A 16,883-nucleotide genomic window follows, 5' to 3' on the forward strand; every position below is an offset into this window, starting at 1 on the left:
ATCACAAAAAATCTACAGTGACACATGTGATAGCCTGGCATTACAAATTCGAAGTATTTGATTCAACTCACAAAGCATTCCCACCAGCCTGCTGCGGTGGCTCACACCTGTAATCCCAACATTTTGGGAGGCCAAGGTGGGTGGGTCACCTGAGACCAGGAGTTCGAGACCATCCTGACCAACATGGTGAAACCCCGTCTCTACTATAAATACAAAAAATTAGCCAGGCGTGGTGGCGCATGCCTGTAATCCCAGCTACTTGGGAGGCTGAGACACGAGAATCGCTTGAACCTGGGAGGCGGAGGTTGCAGTGAGCCAAGATCCACTTGAACCTGGGAGGCAGAGGTTGCAGTGGGCCAAGATCATGCCATTGCACTCCAGCCTGGGCAACAAGAGCAAAACTCTGTCTCAAAAACAAAAAAAAAAACAAAAACAAAACAAAACAAAATAAAAAACAAAGTACTTCCACCAAAATTTTTCCATTAGATTTGAATAACCATCAGGTAGGTAAGGTAGTGATAACATTTATCCCCAAAGCTGTTGTGAGGATCACAACATCTAAAATTTAACAAAAAATTTAACCAAACAACACAAAATTTAACCAAACATCCCTGTACAGGGTCTTATAATAGGTGTCCAATTAATATTAGTGATTTTTCAAACAGATAAGAAATCAACAAATAAAAAGATGGAGAAATATGAACAAGCCCAGAAAGCTAACTAGCTTATCCTCAACTGTGTGCTCTTTTCTCACCAACACTCAAGCATTTACTAACCCAGTTTCTTCATGATTGATTTTCAAGAAAATTTCCACACAACAGGAGTATATTCATTCATTCACAACATCTGAGTGCCTTCTATACACGAGGTACTGTTCTAGACCCTTAGAAATACTGTAGTGAACAAACCTGACATGGGTGCCACTTTCAGGAAGCTGATATTCTAGTGTGAAGAAATAAGCAACAAGTAAAAAGAGTTTCAGACAGAAACAAGGACCAAACTGGATACCAAAATTCGCAGATGCTCAAGTCCTTTATATAAAATGGTGTAGCATTAGTTATTGCATATAACCTAGGCACATCTTCCTATATATCATCCCTAGATTGCATATAACATTTAATACAATGTAAATGCTATGTAAATAATTATTATACTGTATTGGTTTTTATTTGTATTTTTAGTTGTTTTTTTCCTAGTATTTTCGATCCATGGTTGGTTGAATCCATGGATGTGAGATTGCTGGATTCAGAATCCAAAGATATAGAGAGCTGACTGTATATGTAACTCATACTTTTCTATTTATTAATAACATACTCTACCTTACTTACAAAACCAGGGGAATAAGGTATCTAATAAGATAACTTAAAGGGGAAAACAAAATTTAAAAGGTAAGAAATTTCAATAGCAATGGGTTTCAAGCACTGAATTATGGAGGAGACAAATGTTTTATACTTCAGCCTTCAAAAGGGTTATCATCTCAATGAGAAGGGGAAAATATATTAACAGTAAATCACTAACAGTATGGATCACATACCAAGGTGAATGATACAAGCTGTCATTAAAAAGCTCAGAGAAAGGAAGAGAGCAAGCTTCTTCTCAAACAGTAAAATGCTATAAATCACCTGATTGTGTAGGTCAGGAGAGGGGCCTGAGATTCTGTGATACGTATGTCTGCATTTCTAACAAACTCAAGTGTAGCCAACATTGCTCATCTTACTGGACATGGATCATACTTTGAATAGCAAGGTCTAATGAACATAAGAAAGGTAAAATTCAAATGTTCTAGGGAACAAAGTGGGTTCAACATGAAAAGTTTAACGGGAAGAATTAGCTTGATCTTGTCTAGGAACAATGAGACCACCTGACAGAATGAAGACCCATTCTTTCTTTATTTTTGTTTTTTTTCTTTTAACTCATCTGTATTTGTTACAACTTTAAGCAGAATGTGACTCAGGCACTACATTTCCATCCACAAGACTAGCTCTGAGTTATTTTTGAACAGCTTTACGACATGCTTAGGTAGGCTTATAACTTTGCTCCTCCAAATGATACTTTTCTTTGGAAAACAAGCCCTGTGGAGGGCTTACTTTTCTTTGGAAAACAAGCCCTGTGGAGGGACTGCTACATTACAGATACAGAGGAAGTGATGAAACAGGTCTAAAGGTAGGAAAGGAAGGGTTCAAAAATACAAGAAAAATTGGTCTTGGCCACTATCAATGTGCCAGGAAGGAACAAATGTGTTAAAACATCAGGCTAAACATAGGATGAGATTAATCTCTGGGTTCATCTACATCTATATATGACTGAGAATGGTCATGAGAGTCGGGACTGGGTTCTACCTTGCTCACCTATATAATATCTTATATAGGTTACTGCAATATACCCCAGCATGTAGCAGGGCTAGACCTGGCATGTGGTCGGCAATCAATAAATATTTGTTAAATGAATGAAGAACAGAATACATCTGGAGTATACAGATTCAAGTTAAACTATATGGAGAATTTTTAAAAAAACAGAGTAAGTCGATTAAGTCACATTTTTTATTCAATATGTGATGATGAAAGAGAACAATTTCAAAGAGAAAGAACTTCATGAACAAAAGCAAGGTCATGCTTACTGCTTTGAATAAGGATGTGACTCTAGGTCTGTCTTTAGCATGACTTTTTTTTTTTTTTTTTTTTTTCTGAGACGGAGTCTCGCTCTGTCGCCCAATCTGGAGTGCAGTGGTGCAATCTCGGCTCACTGCAAGCTCCGCCTCCCCGGTTCATGCCATTCCCCTGCCTCAGCCTCCTGAGTAGCTGGGACTACAGGCACCCGCCACCACGCCCGACTAATTTTTTGTATTTTTAGTAGAGACAGGGTTTCACCATGTTAGCCAGGACGGTCTTGATCTCCTGACCTCGTGTGATCTGCCTGCCTTGGCCTCCCAAAGTGCTGGGATTACAGGCGTGAGCCACCACACCTGGCCTTTAGCATGACTTATTAAAGAAAAAACTAAGTAGTCTGAGGGGCTGGAATGTACAGTTCCTACAAAGCTTGGAAAGAAAGGAAATAAACCTGAACATAAATGCAAGAAACAAGGACAACATTTTGGTCCTTCAATTCAATGGAAAGTCACTGAAAACATCTAAGGAAAGAAGTTAAAATCTGAATGTTCACGTTAAATAAACGTTTTAATAAAAGTATGAGGCCGGGCACGGTGGCTCACGCCTGTAATCCCAGCACTTTGGGAGGCCGAGGCGGGCGGATCACGAGGTCAGGAGATCGAGACCATCCCGGCTAAAACGGTGAAACCCCGTCTCTACTAAAAATACAAAAAATTAGCCGGGCGTAGTGGCAGGCGCCTGTAGTCCCAGCTACTTGGGAGGCTGAGGCAGGAGAATGGCGTGAACCCGGGAGGCGGAGCTTGCAGTGAGCCGAGATTGCGCCACTGCACTCCAGCCTGGGCGACAGAGCGAGACTCCGTCTCAAAAAAAAAATAAAATAAAATAAAATAAAATAAAATAAAAGTATGAATGGTAGACTGAAGAAGGCAGGGGAAAACAATATTAAAATAACCTGCATAAGATATTAGAACATAAATTAGTATAAATAATAAAATGGAATACATACTCATTCATTTATCCTACTTTGTGAATTAACAGGTTCAGCACTGGAGATAAAACAGGTGAAAAAGCATAGTCCCTGCCCTCAGTAGCATACATTCTGATGAGGAAAACAAAGAAGAAAACAAACAAGATAGTTACAGGCTGTGGAAAATTCTAGAAATATAGGGTGCTGTGATGGAAAGTAAGGAGAAGAACAAGTCTATAATTCTATTTTGTACATGTTAAATATGAGATGCCTATGAGATATCCAAATAGTGACGTCAAACAGGCAATGGGTATTCAAAAGAGGCATTCAAGAGCCATTACTGGCAGAAATATAAATCTAGGACTTATTAGAATATAAATATTTAAAGCCGTGAGCACAGATAAGAATACCTTAAAGAATACTACTATAATTACTGCAAATAAAGCAGCAGCAAAGCTTAAATGGTGACTTATTCTGTCCCAGACATTGTTCTAGTTATTGACATATATTCAATCCATTTAAAGTCTCAAAACAATTCAGATGAGGAAAATGAGGCACAAAGACTTGCCCAATGTCATGCAGCAAATTTCAGAGCTGGGATTCAAATCCAAGCAGTCTGGCTCCAGAGCATGTACTTTTATCAACTTCGTTACACTACCTATGTCAAGCAGAGACTAAAAGAAAAGCCAAAACCTAAACCATGAGGCACTCCAATATGCACAGATGGAGAAGAAACATAAAAGGAAAGGAGTAAGTGGCCTAAAAGGAAGGATAGTGATTGACTGGGGTCACACACCAATAAGAACCCTCAGGATTCAGGTATGAAAGCAAAAGAAAGAAACCATAAACCATGAAAATTGATAGGGATAGTGGCAATCATTTTGTGGATGAGAAAATGTACCTTTGGAGTAAAACAATCATAGAAGTGTTGTTAGTTACTGGTGGATGCAGACTGGAATGCATGTCTCCTGATTACCAGGAGCACTGAAGTGCTCTTTCTACAATTCCAATCTACATTAGCAAAGTTAGCATTCGAAATGATTTGAGAAACATTAATAAGGATGAGAGTGGTAAAGACACAGTAATCTGAGTGTTTACGATGACACAGGTACTATACTAAACACTTTAAATACCTCGGAATTTCATTCTCACAACCCTTATGAGTTACTACTTTATCATCATCCCCATTTTACAAAGGATACACCTGAGGCCTAGAAAATTTAATAACTTCCCCAAGGTCATGCTTACTGCTGGAATAAGGATCTGAATCCAAGTCTGTCGTCAAGATTCTCTTGGCTAGTATGTAATATTGCTTTCCTAAGAGTAACACTGTTCATCAAGACAGAAATGAAGAAAGAAAGAAAGAAAGAAAGAAAGAAAGAAAGAAAGAAAGAAAGAAAGAAAGAAAGAAAGAAAGAAGAGAAAGAAAGAAAGAAAGAGGGAGGGAGGGAGGGAGGGAGGGAGGGAGGGAGGGAGGGAGGGAAGGAAGGAAGGAAGGAAGGAAGGAAGGAAGGAAAGAGAGAGAGAAAAGAAAAGAAAAAAGAGAGAGAGAAGAGAAGAGTTTAAGGAAGGAGTTTTTTTTAAATTGTATCTGGGCAAACGTGGGTATACCTATCATCCATGTGGAGATAGTATTCAAGATGGATGATTCTTGGTTACTCCATCTGCAATAATCCATTAATAAAATTTAGAGTAACCAGTATTCCCTGTATTAACAATGTAAAACGCATAAAGAACATACCATTTAAATGTTCCCTACATGATTTATGGTAACTGGAAAACATTCACCATTAAAAAATGAGCAACCAAGATAAAAGAACCTTGCAACTGCAATATAATCTAGCTGCCTAAAACCATATAAATGACAGAAAGGCAGATGTCCAAAAAGGGGGAAAGTTGTTAGGAACTTATTTTGTTAATATCTACCCAACCGATGGAGAACAAAAGCACAGAGGTACCCACCACCGTGAATAAGAGATAATTCACTAAGTTCGTCAAGAATCTGGATATAAATAACTCTCAAGTAAAATAATCCTTTACCTGCTCTTATTATGATTGATTTTGGAGTCACTGGTAAGCTTCTGATTTTTTTTATTCGATTTCCAAGGTGCTTTGGTAATCAAAAGGGTCTTTTTGGTGGTAGATATGAGCGTTTTCACCACTGAAAAGGTATGTCTTCCACAGTAAATGAGTAAATCAACATTTACATGTATATAAACCAATCTCCTGTGAGAAGGACTAATTGGTTCCTTAGCATTAATCAATTCTGAGAGAGCTGATAAAAAATAATAATTTCTGAGTCCAAAAAATTGAGAACCAGTCTCTTGACTAAGCACCCTTGTGAAACCTGAAGTGATCCAGTCCATCTCCACCTGCAGGTCTCTGTTTAATTCAACAATCCCTCTTAAAGCTGCCAGGACATTGTTACTGAAGTGCTTTTACCACTGCCCTGTGTTAGATAGTATTTGGCACTTAACAGAATGTCCTAAAATATTTGCTAAATAAATGATCTCCAAATAGATTTATGCCACCGACCTGTTGCCTTTTTCAACTCTGGAAACTAAGTGATTCAAAGAGTGCTGTTGTGACATAGCAAATTTAATAAGAAATATGTTTCTAAGAAATAAACATTTCCCAAGTGCATAAGTGGTACTTATTTTAACAAGTGTAATCTAAGTCCACCCACTAACTTTAGAGATTTGCAATCTCTAAAGATACGTCATTTATTCCTGAACACACATCTGCCTCCCATGAGCCAGGGAAAGCCACAGTGCCAGTACACAGGCCAGATAGTACTCCATTTTCTTTTTTTTTTTTGGACGGAGGCTCGCTCTATTGCCCAGGCTGGAGTGCAGTGGCACAATCTCGGCTCACTGCAACCTCCGCCTCCCAGGTTCAAGCGATTCTCCCGCCTCAGCCTCCTGAGTAGCTGAGATTACAGGCGCGTGCCAACATGCCCGGCTAATTTTGTGTTTTTAGTAGAGACGGGGTTTCACCATGTTGGTCAGGCTGGTCTCGAACTCCTGACCTCCTGATCCGCCCGCCTCGGCCTCCCAAAGTGCTGGGATTACAGCCGTGAGCCACCACGCCCGGCCTGCATTTTCAAAGTATTACACAAGTGACATTTAGAACAAAACATTCCAAAGTTAATCTCTTGCCTGCATCTTTCAAACTCTGCTAACCACAGACATTAAACTCATAATAATAATCATAATTAACATTAAGTGATTACACTGTACTACAGGTCACCACATAAACTTTTTCATTTAATCCAAACAACTCTATGATACAGATACTTCTCATTCCCACTTGACAGATGAGGAAAGCAAAGCCTGGAAAGGCTAACTTGCCTTAAAGTCACAGAGCTGGTTAAGTGGAAGAGCCTAGAAGACTGAATGAGCTCTTAACCACCAGGCTACACTCTTGTATCCAGTTTAACTAAGTCAGTTCAACAGATTCAATTATATGCTGCGTTTAAATTATCAACAGTTTCCACTTAAAAATACCTGCTTGCAATTACAATTTTCACATGAATTTAAAAGTACTTTCTTATTACAAATATCTAAGATCTGCATTAATAGGAAATAACCTTTAAAAAAATCAAAGGAAGAGAGGATGCTTTTTAAAAAGAGGGCAGGAAGGATACTTTTAAAACTAGAACGTCATATAAATGCATTTTGCTTCGAAACAACAGAAATAAAATTTCTCATTCTAGATTTTCCTCTTCCCAGCTAAGTCCATTTCCTTATCAAGAATTTCCTTGGATGTCCTAGTTCATGAACCTTAACTACTAAATACATTTAAGGCCCTTCTCTTTGATATTCTTTTATGTTTTTCAGAATGAACACTACAAAAGAGTATTCTAAATTATACGGTTTCAGATAAAGCGCCGAAGTACAGGCTCAAAAGAGTGGCTACAAAGTACATCTCCACTTGGAACGTTATAGATGTCAGATCCCAGCAGGGAATCAGTGGAGTTTCCTTACTCTCTCCTTCCCAGAGCCCTACTAGGTCCCTAAATCCTTCTCGACACCTTCGTTAGCTGCTGGTCTCCAGGAGTCTTTCTTCAAATCCCCCCACCGGTCATCTCAAAACAAGACCCCAGGAACCTGTCACTCACACCCCTATTCTCAGTCCCCTTCCTGAAGCCCCAACTGTCCCGTTAGAAGACAAGAGAAGGCTGTCGAAGCTCCTGAACAAAAAGTGAAGATGAAAGAGAAACGTACTAGGGAAAAACTTTGGCCCAGCCACACCAAGCCCAAGGGGGAGAATGCTAGAAAGTACGTCTGGTGGGACGGGGCTGGGAACTGCGCTCCCCACGTGGGCCAGAGGAAAAAGAACAGCACTCACAAGGCCATCTATCTGCACTTGCTTCACGGCTGAATCTCCCGAGCCGCCTTTGCCTTTGCCTTTCCCTGCTGCGCCGGCGGTGGAGCTGGAAGAGGTGGCAGTAGAGCCGGTACCTTCCTTGCGGGACGCCATCTTTCCAAGCAGACAGGAAGAAAGAGAAACGTGAGTTACCGGAAGCGGAAGTACAAGTCTCGCGTGACGTCACTCGCAGGCCGGCGTTCGAGGGGCGGAGACGGAAGGAGAAGCCAAAATTGGGCCCCGCCTCCCTCCTGTTTTCCAGTTTTACCTTCTTTCCAGGCGGTATCCTTTGTGCATGCCTACTGTACATTTTCGACCTCTTTCCGATGGAATGATCTAAGATGAAAGTAAACTTTTTAAATGTTTAATCATTCACCACTAGGCAAACCGTCATAATAGCATTACAGTTCGCATTATTTCTGTAGTGTCTCTTATGTAAAAATGCTTTCATTTCTGATCTTGCAATGAAGTGCTGTACTAACTCGCATTATGCATATTAGAAAACTGATAAGTGATTTGTCCGACATTATTCTGTTAATTAGCGATGAGCCAGTATTGCACAGCTTGTTTTACGTAATTTTAGATAGCTGCTTGTAACCACTTAGATTATATAGAAATTAAGACATAGAAACTTTTATCAGAATTACCAGAAATAGTAGCCTTTTGCTATTAGCTTCATGTAGAGATTTACCTGAGTAAAGTACCAAAGAAGTTATCTGAGGTATTGTTGAAGGATGATACAGAATATATTTTCTAAAAATCACGCTGATTTATGACACATTACTCTGAAATACACATCTCAAGTCCTTAAAAGAATATATGACAACTGTAAGAAGCCATTTTAGATAAGTAATTTGAAACATTCTTTTCTACTTCCAAATGACTTTTTTCCTATCCCTTATTTTTGAAATGTTTATTCAATAAATATGTATACAGAACTGATGAAATAATTAAATCAATAAACGGCATATCCTGCCCTGAAGTTTTTTGTTGTTTTGTCATTGGGATCTGGTGTTATATTTCAATCTGGGAGGAGAAATAGTTACATGTTACAAATTCTTAACACTACAAAATGAAAAGTTAATATCCACTCATTTCAAGTGTATATGAAATATTTATTAAAATACACCAAACCCTAGGTCACACAGAAAGTCCACAAATTTAGAGGTTTTAAAGGTTGATCCTGGTAAAATTACACTAGAAATTGGTAACAGAACATTCACAAAAAGAAGAAAGAAAATCTCGCATGGAAGAACCAGACTGGAGGTTTTTGCCTACCACTAGGTAGCTGGAATGATGAGCATTAGAAAACAGTGAGGCTACTTATAAACAATAATACATTTATTTATTGCTTTATCCTACAACATACATAACACAGTTTTGTTTCAGAATTACAATACCAATATCCTCATAGCAGTAAAACTACAAAGTAAAGTTTAAAATATTTTGCAATTTTTTTGTCCTTGAAAATATCCAACTAAGGTTTTGCAGCCACGTGTGCTAAACATACTACAATGGGTTATTTTCATCTGTCCTGAGACAGTTCATGTGGGCCCTCTTTATGAAATACACTAGATGTAAGAGGTACAACTGAGAGAGAGAGAGAGAGAGGGCCAGAGAATATGAAGAATTTGAATTAGAAATCAATATGATCACCTTGACAAGAAAGGGCCCAGAAGCATTGACATTTCCGTCACTTCGGTTCCTAATTTCATTCCTATCTCACTGGCTACCTCCTTTATTCTCAGTTCCCATTGCTGATTTTTCTACCCCTTTTCAACCTTTAAATATTGAAGAGCACCAAATTTAGACTTTGAACATCTTCTTTCCCCTATTTTTGTTCTCTTTTATGGTGACCTCATCCAAGCTTTACAAAGAGATACACTCAAAATAATGTAAATAAATCAATATATTATTTAAAATGTTCAAATAACCCAGAAGAATGAAGAAAAAGAAAAGAGAGAAATGAAAACAGAGAGAATGAATAAAAAATAACTTAAATGGCAATCTTAAGCCCAAATATATTAATAGTTATGTTAATTTTTTTTTTTTTTTTGAGACAGAGTCTCCCTGTGTCACCCAGGCTGGAGTGCAATGGTGTGATCTTGGCTCACTGCAACCTCCGCCTCCCAGGTTCAAGCGATTCTCTCGCCTCAGCCTCTTGAGTAGCTAGGATTTCAGGCACCCACCACCCTGTCCAGCTAATTTTTGTATTTTTAGTAAAGACGGGGTTTTGCCATGTTGGCCAGGCTGGTTTCGAACGCCTCACCTCAGGTGATCCGCCCGCCTCAGCTTCCCAAAGTGCTGGGATTATAGGCGTGAGCCACCGCACCTAGCCAATATAAATGTTTTAAATATACCAATTAAAGGAAAACAATTGGATGAATGAATAAACGGATAAAAACATGATCTATCCATAGGCTATCTATAAGAAACTCACTTCAAACATAGTAATATAAGTACAAAGAAAGTAAAACGATGGAAAAATATATCATGTAACCACTAATCAAAAGAAAGCAGGAGTGGCTATATTAATATCAAATAAGGCAAAATTCAGAGAAAAGAAAATAATCAGAGACAGAAGGAGACATCAAATAATGATAAAATGATCAATCACAAAGAACACATGAGAATTCTCAATGTGTATGCCCCAACAGAAATCAGAACCTATGTGAAGAAAAATCTCATAGAGCTGAAAGGAAAAAATGGGCAAATCCATAATTATAGTTGGAGATGTCAACTCCCTCTCTCAACAATGGATAAAACAACTATGGAGAAAATCAATAGGATATAAGGAACTCAACAATACCATCAACCAACAGGATCAAATCAGCATTTATGGAACACTCAAAGTAGAAAATACACACTTTTTTGAAGTGTCCATGGAATATACAGGTCATATCCTGAACCATAAACAAACCTCAGCAAGTTTAAACCTCAACAAATTAAATAATTTCTGAGTTGAAATTATTCATAGTATGTTCTCAAATCACAATAGATTTAAAGAAGGAATTAAAACATAGGATAACAAAATTTTCTGAATATTTGGAAACTAAACAACATACTTCTAATAATATTAATCCACAGATCAAAGAGGAAGTCTCCAGGAAAATTTTAAAACATACACACAAATTGAACTAGATGAATATGAAAATATAAAATATTAAAATGTGTGGGGCACAGATACATCAGTGCTGAGAAAGAAGTTTATAGCTAACTGCCTACATTAGAAAAAGGAAATGTGTCAAATCCATCATCTAAGCTCTCTAACATCCTAGACAAAAAAGAACAAAATAAACCTGAAGTATGCATAAGAAAGTAAATAACAGATTGTAGCAGAAACTGAATGTATTTAATCACTTAAAGATGGTTGGTCACAACCATTAAGTTGTCTTTCTGGCCTCCCATAAGGAAGTTCAATATTGTGGGTATTAATTTCATTGTGGATATTTATTTATTGTATGAAATAAATTTATCTTGTATTCGCAACAAGATGTTCTTCATTCTCTTTGTCACAGAAACTAATGTTTTTAGCATACTTCTCCAATTGCTGGAAATATTTCTAATTTAGTTACAGGCAAAAAGAGAGAGGCTGATGAGGGCCTTCCAAACTAAGCTGTGGGCGCTGCCCATGTGTGATTACTGCCTGGGGACAGGAAGCAGAGGATAGCCTGTCACACCTGAGTGAGCAAATAAAAAATAAACAGTCTAACTAGTTCAGCTTTTGTGGCATAATAACTCTACCCACTAGAAAAACACTGCCCAGTAAAAGTCAGGCTGTGACCATTCCATGCCTCAGAACTACCCAGTATTGGAGCTGCTTTCCCTCACTTGGCTAAGACACTTAAACCCCTTTCAATGCAGTAAAATGAGTCAGGACACCAAAGATGAGCCCCTAAATGTTGTTAAATGTCATTTTATTACGATAGAGAGTGCTAACTTACAACAGAGAGTATACATTTCGGGGTTCACCTGGCTCGTTCTATATTCAGATGAGCCAAAAGATGTGTGGGGTGTGTTTGTGTATGTGTGTGTGTGCGTGTGCGCGCGCACACACGCACATGCTTGCCGTGTCTTACTTTGTTGCCCAGGCTGGAGTGTAATGGCACGATCTCAGCTCACAGCAGCCTCAACCTCCCCAGGCTCAGGTGAACTTCCCACCTCAGCCTCTCGAGTAGCTGGGACTCCAGGCACACAGCACCACACTTGAATAATTTTTGTACTTTTTGTAGATAACCAGTTCCACAATGTTGCTCAGGCTGGCCTCGAACTCCTGGGCTCAAGTGATCCTCCTACCTTGGTTTCCCAAAGGGCTAGGATTATGGGTGCGAGCCACCATGCTCAGCCTGCCAATTTAAATTATTTTAAACAAGAGGGAAATATATGCTATCATGGATCTGGATGTCTAGAGAAGGGCATACTCCAAGTGAAGCAGCATAAAGACTACAGTTTCATTACTTCATGACTCTCTGGACTCTGTCTCCTGCCATGTTTGGGTTCTGACCAAAGACTGGCTACCACTATAATCTCAAGCTCACAGTAGCAATTGAAACAATACACTTTTTGTTTTGTTTATTTTAAGGAAACCTCTCCCCCAGTCATAGAAAAAAGATCTTGCTCATTAGCCTCATTGAGATCAATTTAAGTCATAGGCCTCCTTTTGTCTACAAATGTGAAATAAGACTATGGGAGGTTATACTTTGAAGAGCTAGGTAATTTGTTCAGTGTTATGAAAGAAACTACAGAGAGTATAAAGTTGGAGCCAATAAAAAGAAAATAATATTCATTTACACATAAGAATTAGCATGTGGTCATTTTCTGTATGTTTGCTAAAATAATAATAATTTTTAAAATGACATTGGACTTTTCATCCCAGTATTTTGATTCATCACTTACCAACTAATATTTAAACAAAGTAATCTTGCAGTAAAAAAAAATTTGAGAGGATTGTAAGAGTGACTTTTATTTTGTATAATATCATGTAATTAATACTTCATATTGGTGTAATTCAATTATAAATACTAGACTTTGAAATAATATTCTACTGGATTATTGAAAGCATGTTTAATTTCTTGCCACCAGGAGTTCAGTTTCTGCCCTGAGTCCTCCTGCTGCTTAAAAATATATACAAAACCATGAGTGAAAGAGTTGGCTTCAACATTTTGTTAAATATAAATAGTGTTTTTTAGAAAATCCTTTTAAAGCTGTAATCTGACATAATTTCCAATCTTTAAACTTCTTTAAGTAACAGTAATAATATTTGGTTACCTAGAGTAATTTTATAAAGATTCATTAATCTTCTAAAGTGCTTTGATAGATTAAAATGAAAGACCCATTTAGTGTGAACTTCTCTATCAGTTTGAATAATAATTAAATTTCAAATGGCAGTTTGCTTTGCATTACAGTAAAACATGTTTGCCACTGGTACTATTTCTTAACTTTTTGCTCTGCTCTACCAGTTTTTATTTTCACCATTTAAATTAATGCCATTAAACATTTTGTAGTAAAATGCCAATGGAGAGCACTATTTAAATCTGTTAGAGACGGGCTGGGTGAGGTGGCTCACACCTGTAATCCCAGCACTTTAGGAGGCCAAGGTGGGCAGATCTCTTGAGGTCAGGAGTTTGAGACCAGCCTGGACAACATGGTGAAAACCTGTTTCTACTAAAAATACAAAAATCAGCCAGGCGTGGTGGTGGGCACCTGTAATCCCAGCTACTCAGGAGGCTGAGGCAAGAGAATCGCGTGAACCCGGGAGGCAGAGGTTGCAGTGAGGCGAGATTGCACCACTGCACTCCAGCCTGGGCAACAGAGTGAGACTCTGTCTCAAAAAAATAAATACATACATACATACATACATCTGTTAGAGAAATAATAAATTTCTTTCAATTTACCTAACATGGTAGTATTTGTTCTAAGTATGATTTCATCCAAATAAATTATTACAGAAAGCAAACTTGCTAGTCTAATTTTATAGTGATCCGACAATAGTCATCTGATAACTGATGATGGGCACTTCCTGTTTACTGTCTAGTTTAGAAATATCCTCGAGAAACAGAAATCTCTTGAAATCTTTTTCTAAGAGACAGCTTCTCCTTTGTCATTTGACCTGAAAGAAGAGCTCACTGATACTGGCAGGACCTATATACATGAATTCCGCTTGCTTTCTTTAACTGACAACTGGATGACACTAACATTTCCTTGATGTTCCTTACCCAAGCAGCTGGGGCTCTTCATATTTAACTAACTTTTCTCAACAGGAGATATATCCCACTGACACACCAAATTCAAATCAAATTGTTTATACTTTCAAGAGAAACAAATGTCAAGACAGTTTCTATAGTATGTAAAGAAAGATTTGGTTTATTTAACTTGGAAGACTTTCCACCTTTTAGAGGAAACATATAAACTAGTATTTTGAACCTGTTCAAAGGAAGGGCAATTGTATTGACTGACATCAGCTAACATCAAGGTCTCATCAAACATATTTGTTCATATAAAATTATCTAATTCTGGCAAGTAGTTTTAACTTCCTCTATCATTTAGCATTGAGTTTGGCTACATATAAAATAAACTTATGATAACTTTTTTTTAAAACCAAGGTAGAAGTTTATTTTTCTTCTCATGTAAAAGAAATCCAGAAGTAGAAAGTCTATGTTTGGAAAGACACTTTCACAGTTGCGAGCGATCCAAGCTCCTCTTATCTGCTTTGCCAGTGTTAAGTGAATGACCTCCATTCTCAAAATTACCTCATGGTCTAAAATCGGTTGCTGGAGTTAAAGCTATCACATCCAAATTCCAGGGAGTAGGAAGGAAGGAGATATAAAACACAAAAGTGCCCACTGCCAAGCTAAGTTGACTTCCTTTAAGCCGGCTTCCCAGAATTCCATGCAACACTTACACTTACATATCTTTGGCTAGAACTTAATCCTGTGGTTCTACCTAACTGCACAGAATGCTGGGGAATGGGCTGGCTGCTGTGGCTCACGCCTGTAATCCCAGCACTTTGGGAGGCCAAGGTGAGCGGACCATTTGAGGTCAGGAGTTCGAGACCAGCCTGGCCAGCCTGGCCAGCATAGTGAAACCCGGTCCCTACTTAAATATACAAAAATTAGCCGGGCATGGTGGCCTATGCCTGTAATCCCAGCTACTTAGAAGGCTGAGGCAGGAGAATCGCTTGAACCCAGGAGGTGGAGGCTGCAGTGAGCCAAGATTGTGCCACTGCACTCCACCATAGGCAACAGAGCGAGACTCCGTCTCAAAAAGAAAAGGAAAAAAAAAGAATTCTGGGGAATGGATTTGCTTATCTGGGCACATTACACTCCAGAATAAAATCAGGAGTCTATTCCTACAAAGAAGAGAAGAGATATTGGGTGAAAATTCATAGTCTGTGTCATATCTATTATGTTATATTTGGTGGTTTTGTGAGAAATGTCATGCAGCCATTAAAAATAATGAATGAGAACTCTGCCAATTGACTTTGGGTAGATGTGTGTAGGGATTTCTACAGGATTGTTAGGTGAGAAAAGCAAAATGTATAGAATTGTTAAATATGATTCAATTTCGCATAACAGAGTATCTCTACATAAATATTAAATTGTATATATATGCATATGATATATCAATATGTAAATATGGAAACATTGCCAAGAGATACATAATACATCATCAAAGTGTTATCTGGGCAAGGGGAGAAGAAATTACTATCTTCATGTTCTTCCACTTGTTTTAAGAGGCATATGTTATTTTTGTAATTTGAAATACATAAAGTTTTTGTTATTTTATTTTATTTTAAAGATTATTTTAAAAAGTGACAGCCTCCATATCTGACCTTTGTAACACCTTCTGACATATTTGAAATTTCACAGTAAGGCATTCCATGATGGAGCCTATCCTAGGGGATCTTAGCGAAGAACCTCATAGGACCTCAATACAAAGTGCTTTACCTAAGTTGTCGTAAAATATTTATTTAGCTAAATTATTTATTTAGGCAGTATGTTAGATAATGTTAGGTAGAAATTGTTTTTGAGCTAATGAATGTTAACAAATGTTTATAAATATTTAGATATGAATATAAGGAAGAATAATACCACAATAGATATGTTAGCTAAATTGTCTAACATTTACGAAATTAAACAAAATTATACTAACATTGATGAAATTCAACAAAGTAACCTTTATGAATTATATTTAATGTTTACCTCTTTAATTCCATTTAGGCCATGAATCTTTCATGAGAAAGTCCTATTTGGGAATTAGTCATACGTTTCAAAAATAAATTATTCTCATGTCAACTTGGCTTCATCAAAATTTCATGAAGAAAAAAACTTCAAAATCATGTACAACAGCATAATATTATAAAACTATATTTGATCCAGACATAATAAAATGAAGAACATAAAAAATAAAGAAAAATAAATTAATCGCCTACTTACTCCAGCTGAATGTGGATTTCTATTTGGCATGGAAAATGTCCAGTGGACTGACCTGAGAAAAAAGCTAAAAACTAGCAATGCTGTTATAAATTATTGTTCCTTCAGTATAAGGTCAAAAAAATTTCAATGAATATTAAATATTTTAATAATGACATAACTTTCAAAATAAAATTTCAGATTTAAATTTATATCCAAATGGTTCACTCAATAATGGCAGTATTTGGCTTCTGCCTTGGTTGTGGCTAAATATTGATTTTCCATTACAGATCATTTGGCATCTAAACAAAAGTGTATTAAGTGGACCAATTAATAAAAATATCTTATTGGATAAACGATGCTTTATTACAAAAAAGGTCCTTCAGGAACACTAATGAGCATAATAATGATTTGGGGAGATTGTAATAAATGTCACTTCCTCTTTGAATAGTACCCCTCTCCCTCAATACTTATTCTGAATCAGAAATGGGCATTTTAAACAAGCACACTAAGAGCTTTTTCTGCATATCC

At 37.5% G+C, this 16,883-nt stretch overlaps 1 protein-coding gene across 8 annotated transcripts in view; it reads right to left on the bottom strand.

The window, feature by feature from the left end:
* EIF3H (eukaryotic translation initiation factor 3 subunit H) overlaps nucleotides 1-16,883 on the bottom strand; it is a 124,245-nt gene that overhangs the window by 105,613 nt on the left and 1,749 nt on the right. For 3 of the 8 annotated variants that reach the window (XM_047422384.1, XM_047422385.1, XM_047422383.1), the window contains 2 exons: nucleotides 16,377-16,440; nucleotides 7,924-8,277 (listed from right to left, as the gene is read on the bottom strand). In XM_047422384.1, the coding sequence (XP_047278340.1) occupies nucleotides 7,924-8,251 (328 nt within the window). In that variant the 5' untranslated portion in view covers nucleotides 8,252-8,277; nucleotides 16,377-16,440. Of the gene's footprint in view, nucleotides 1-7,923; nucleotides 8,278-16,376; nucleotides 16,448-16,883 lie in introns of those variants that run through there. The other 5 variants (XM_047422386.1, XM_047422382.1, XM_047422381.1 and 2 more) reach the window with 4 other exon arrangements.

Source organism: Homo sapiens, chromosome 8, assembly GCF_000001405.40.
Source record: "Homo sapiens chromosome 8, GRCh38.p14 Primary Assembly".
NCBI lineage: Eukaryota > Metazoa > Chordata > Mammalia > Primates > Hominidae > Homo > Homo sapiens.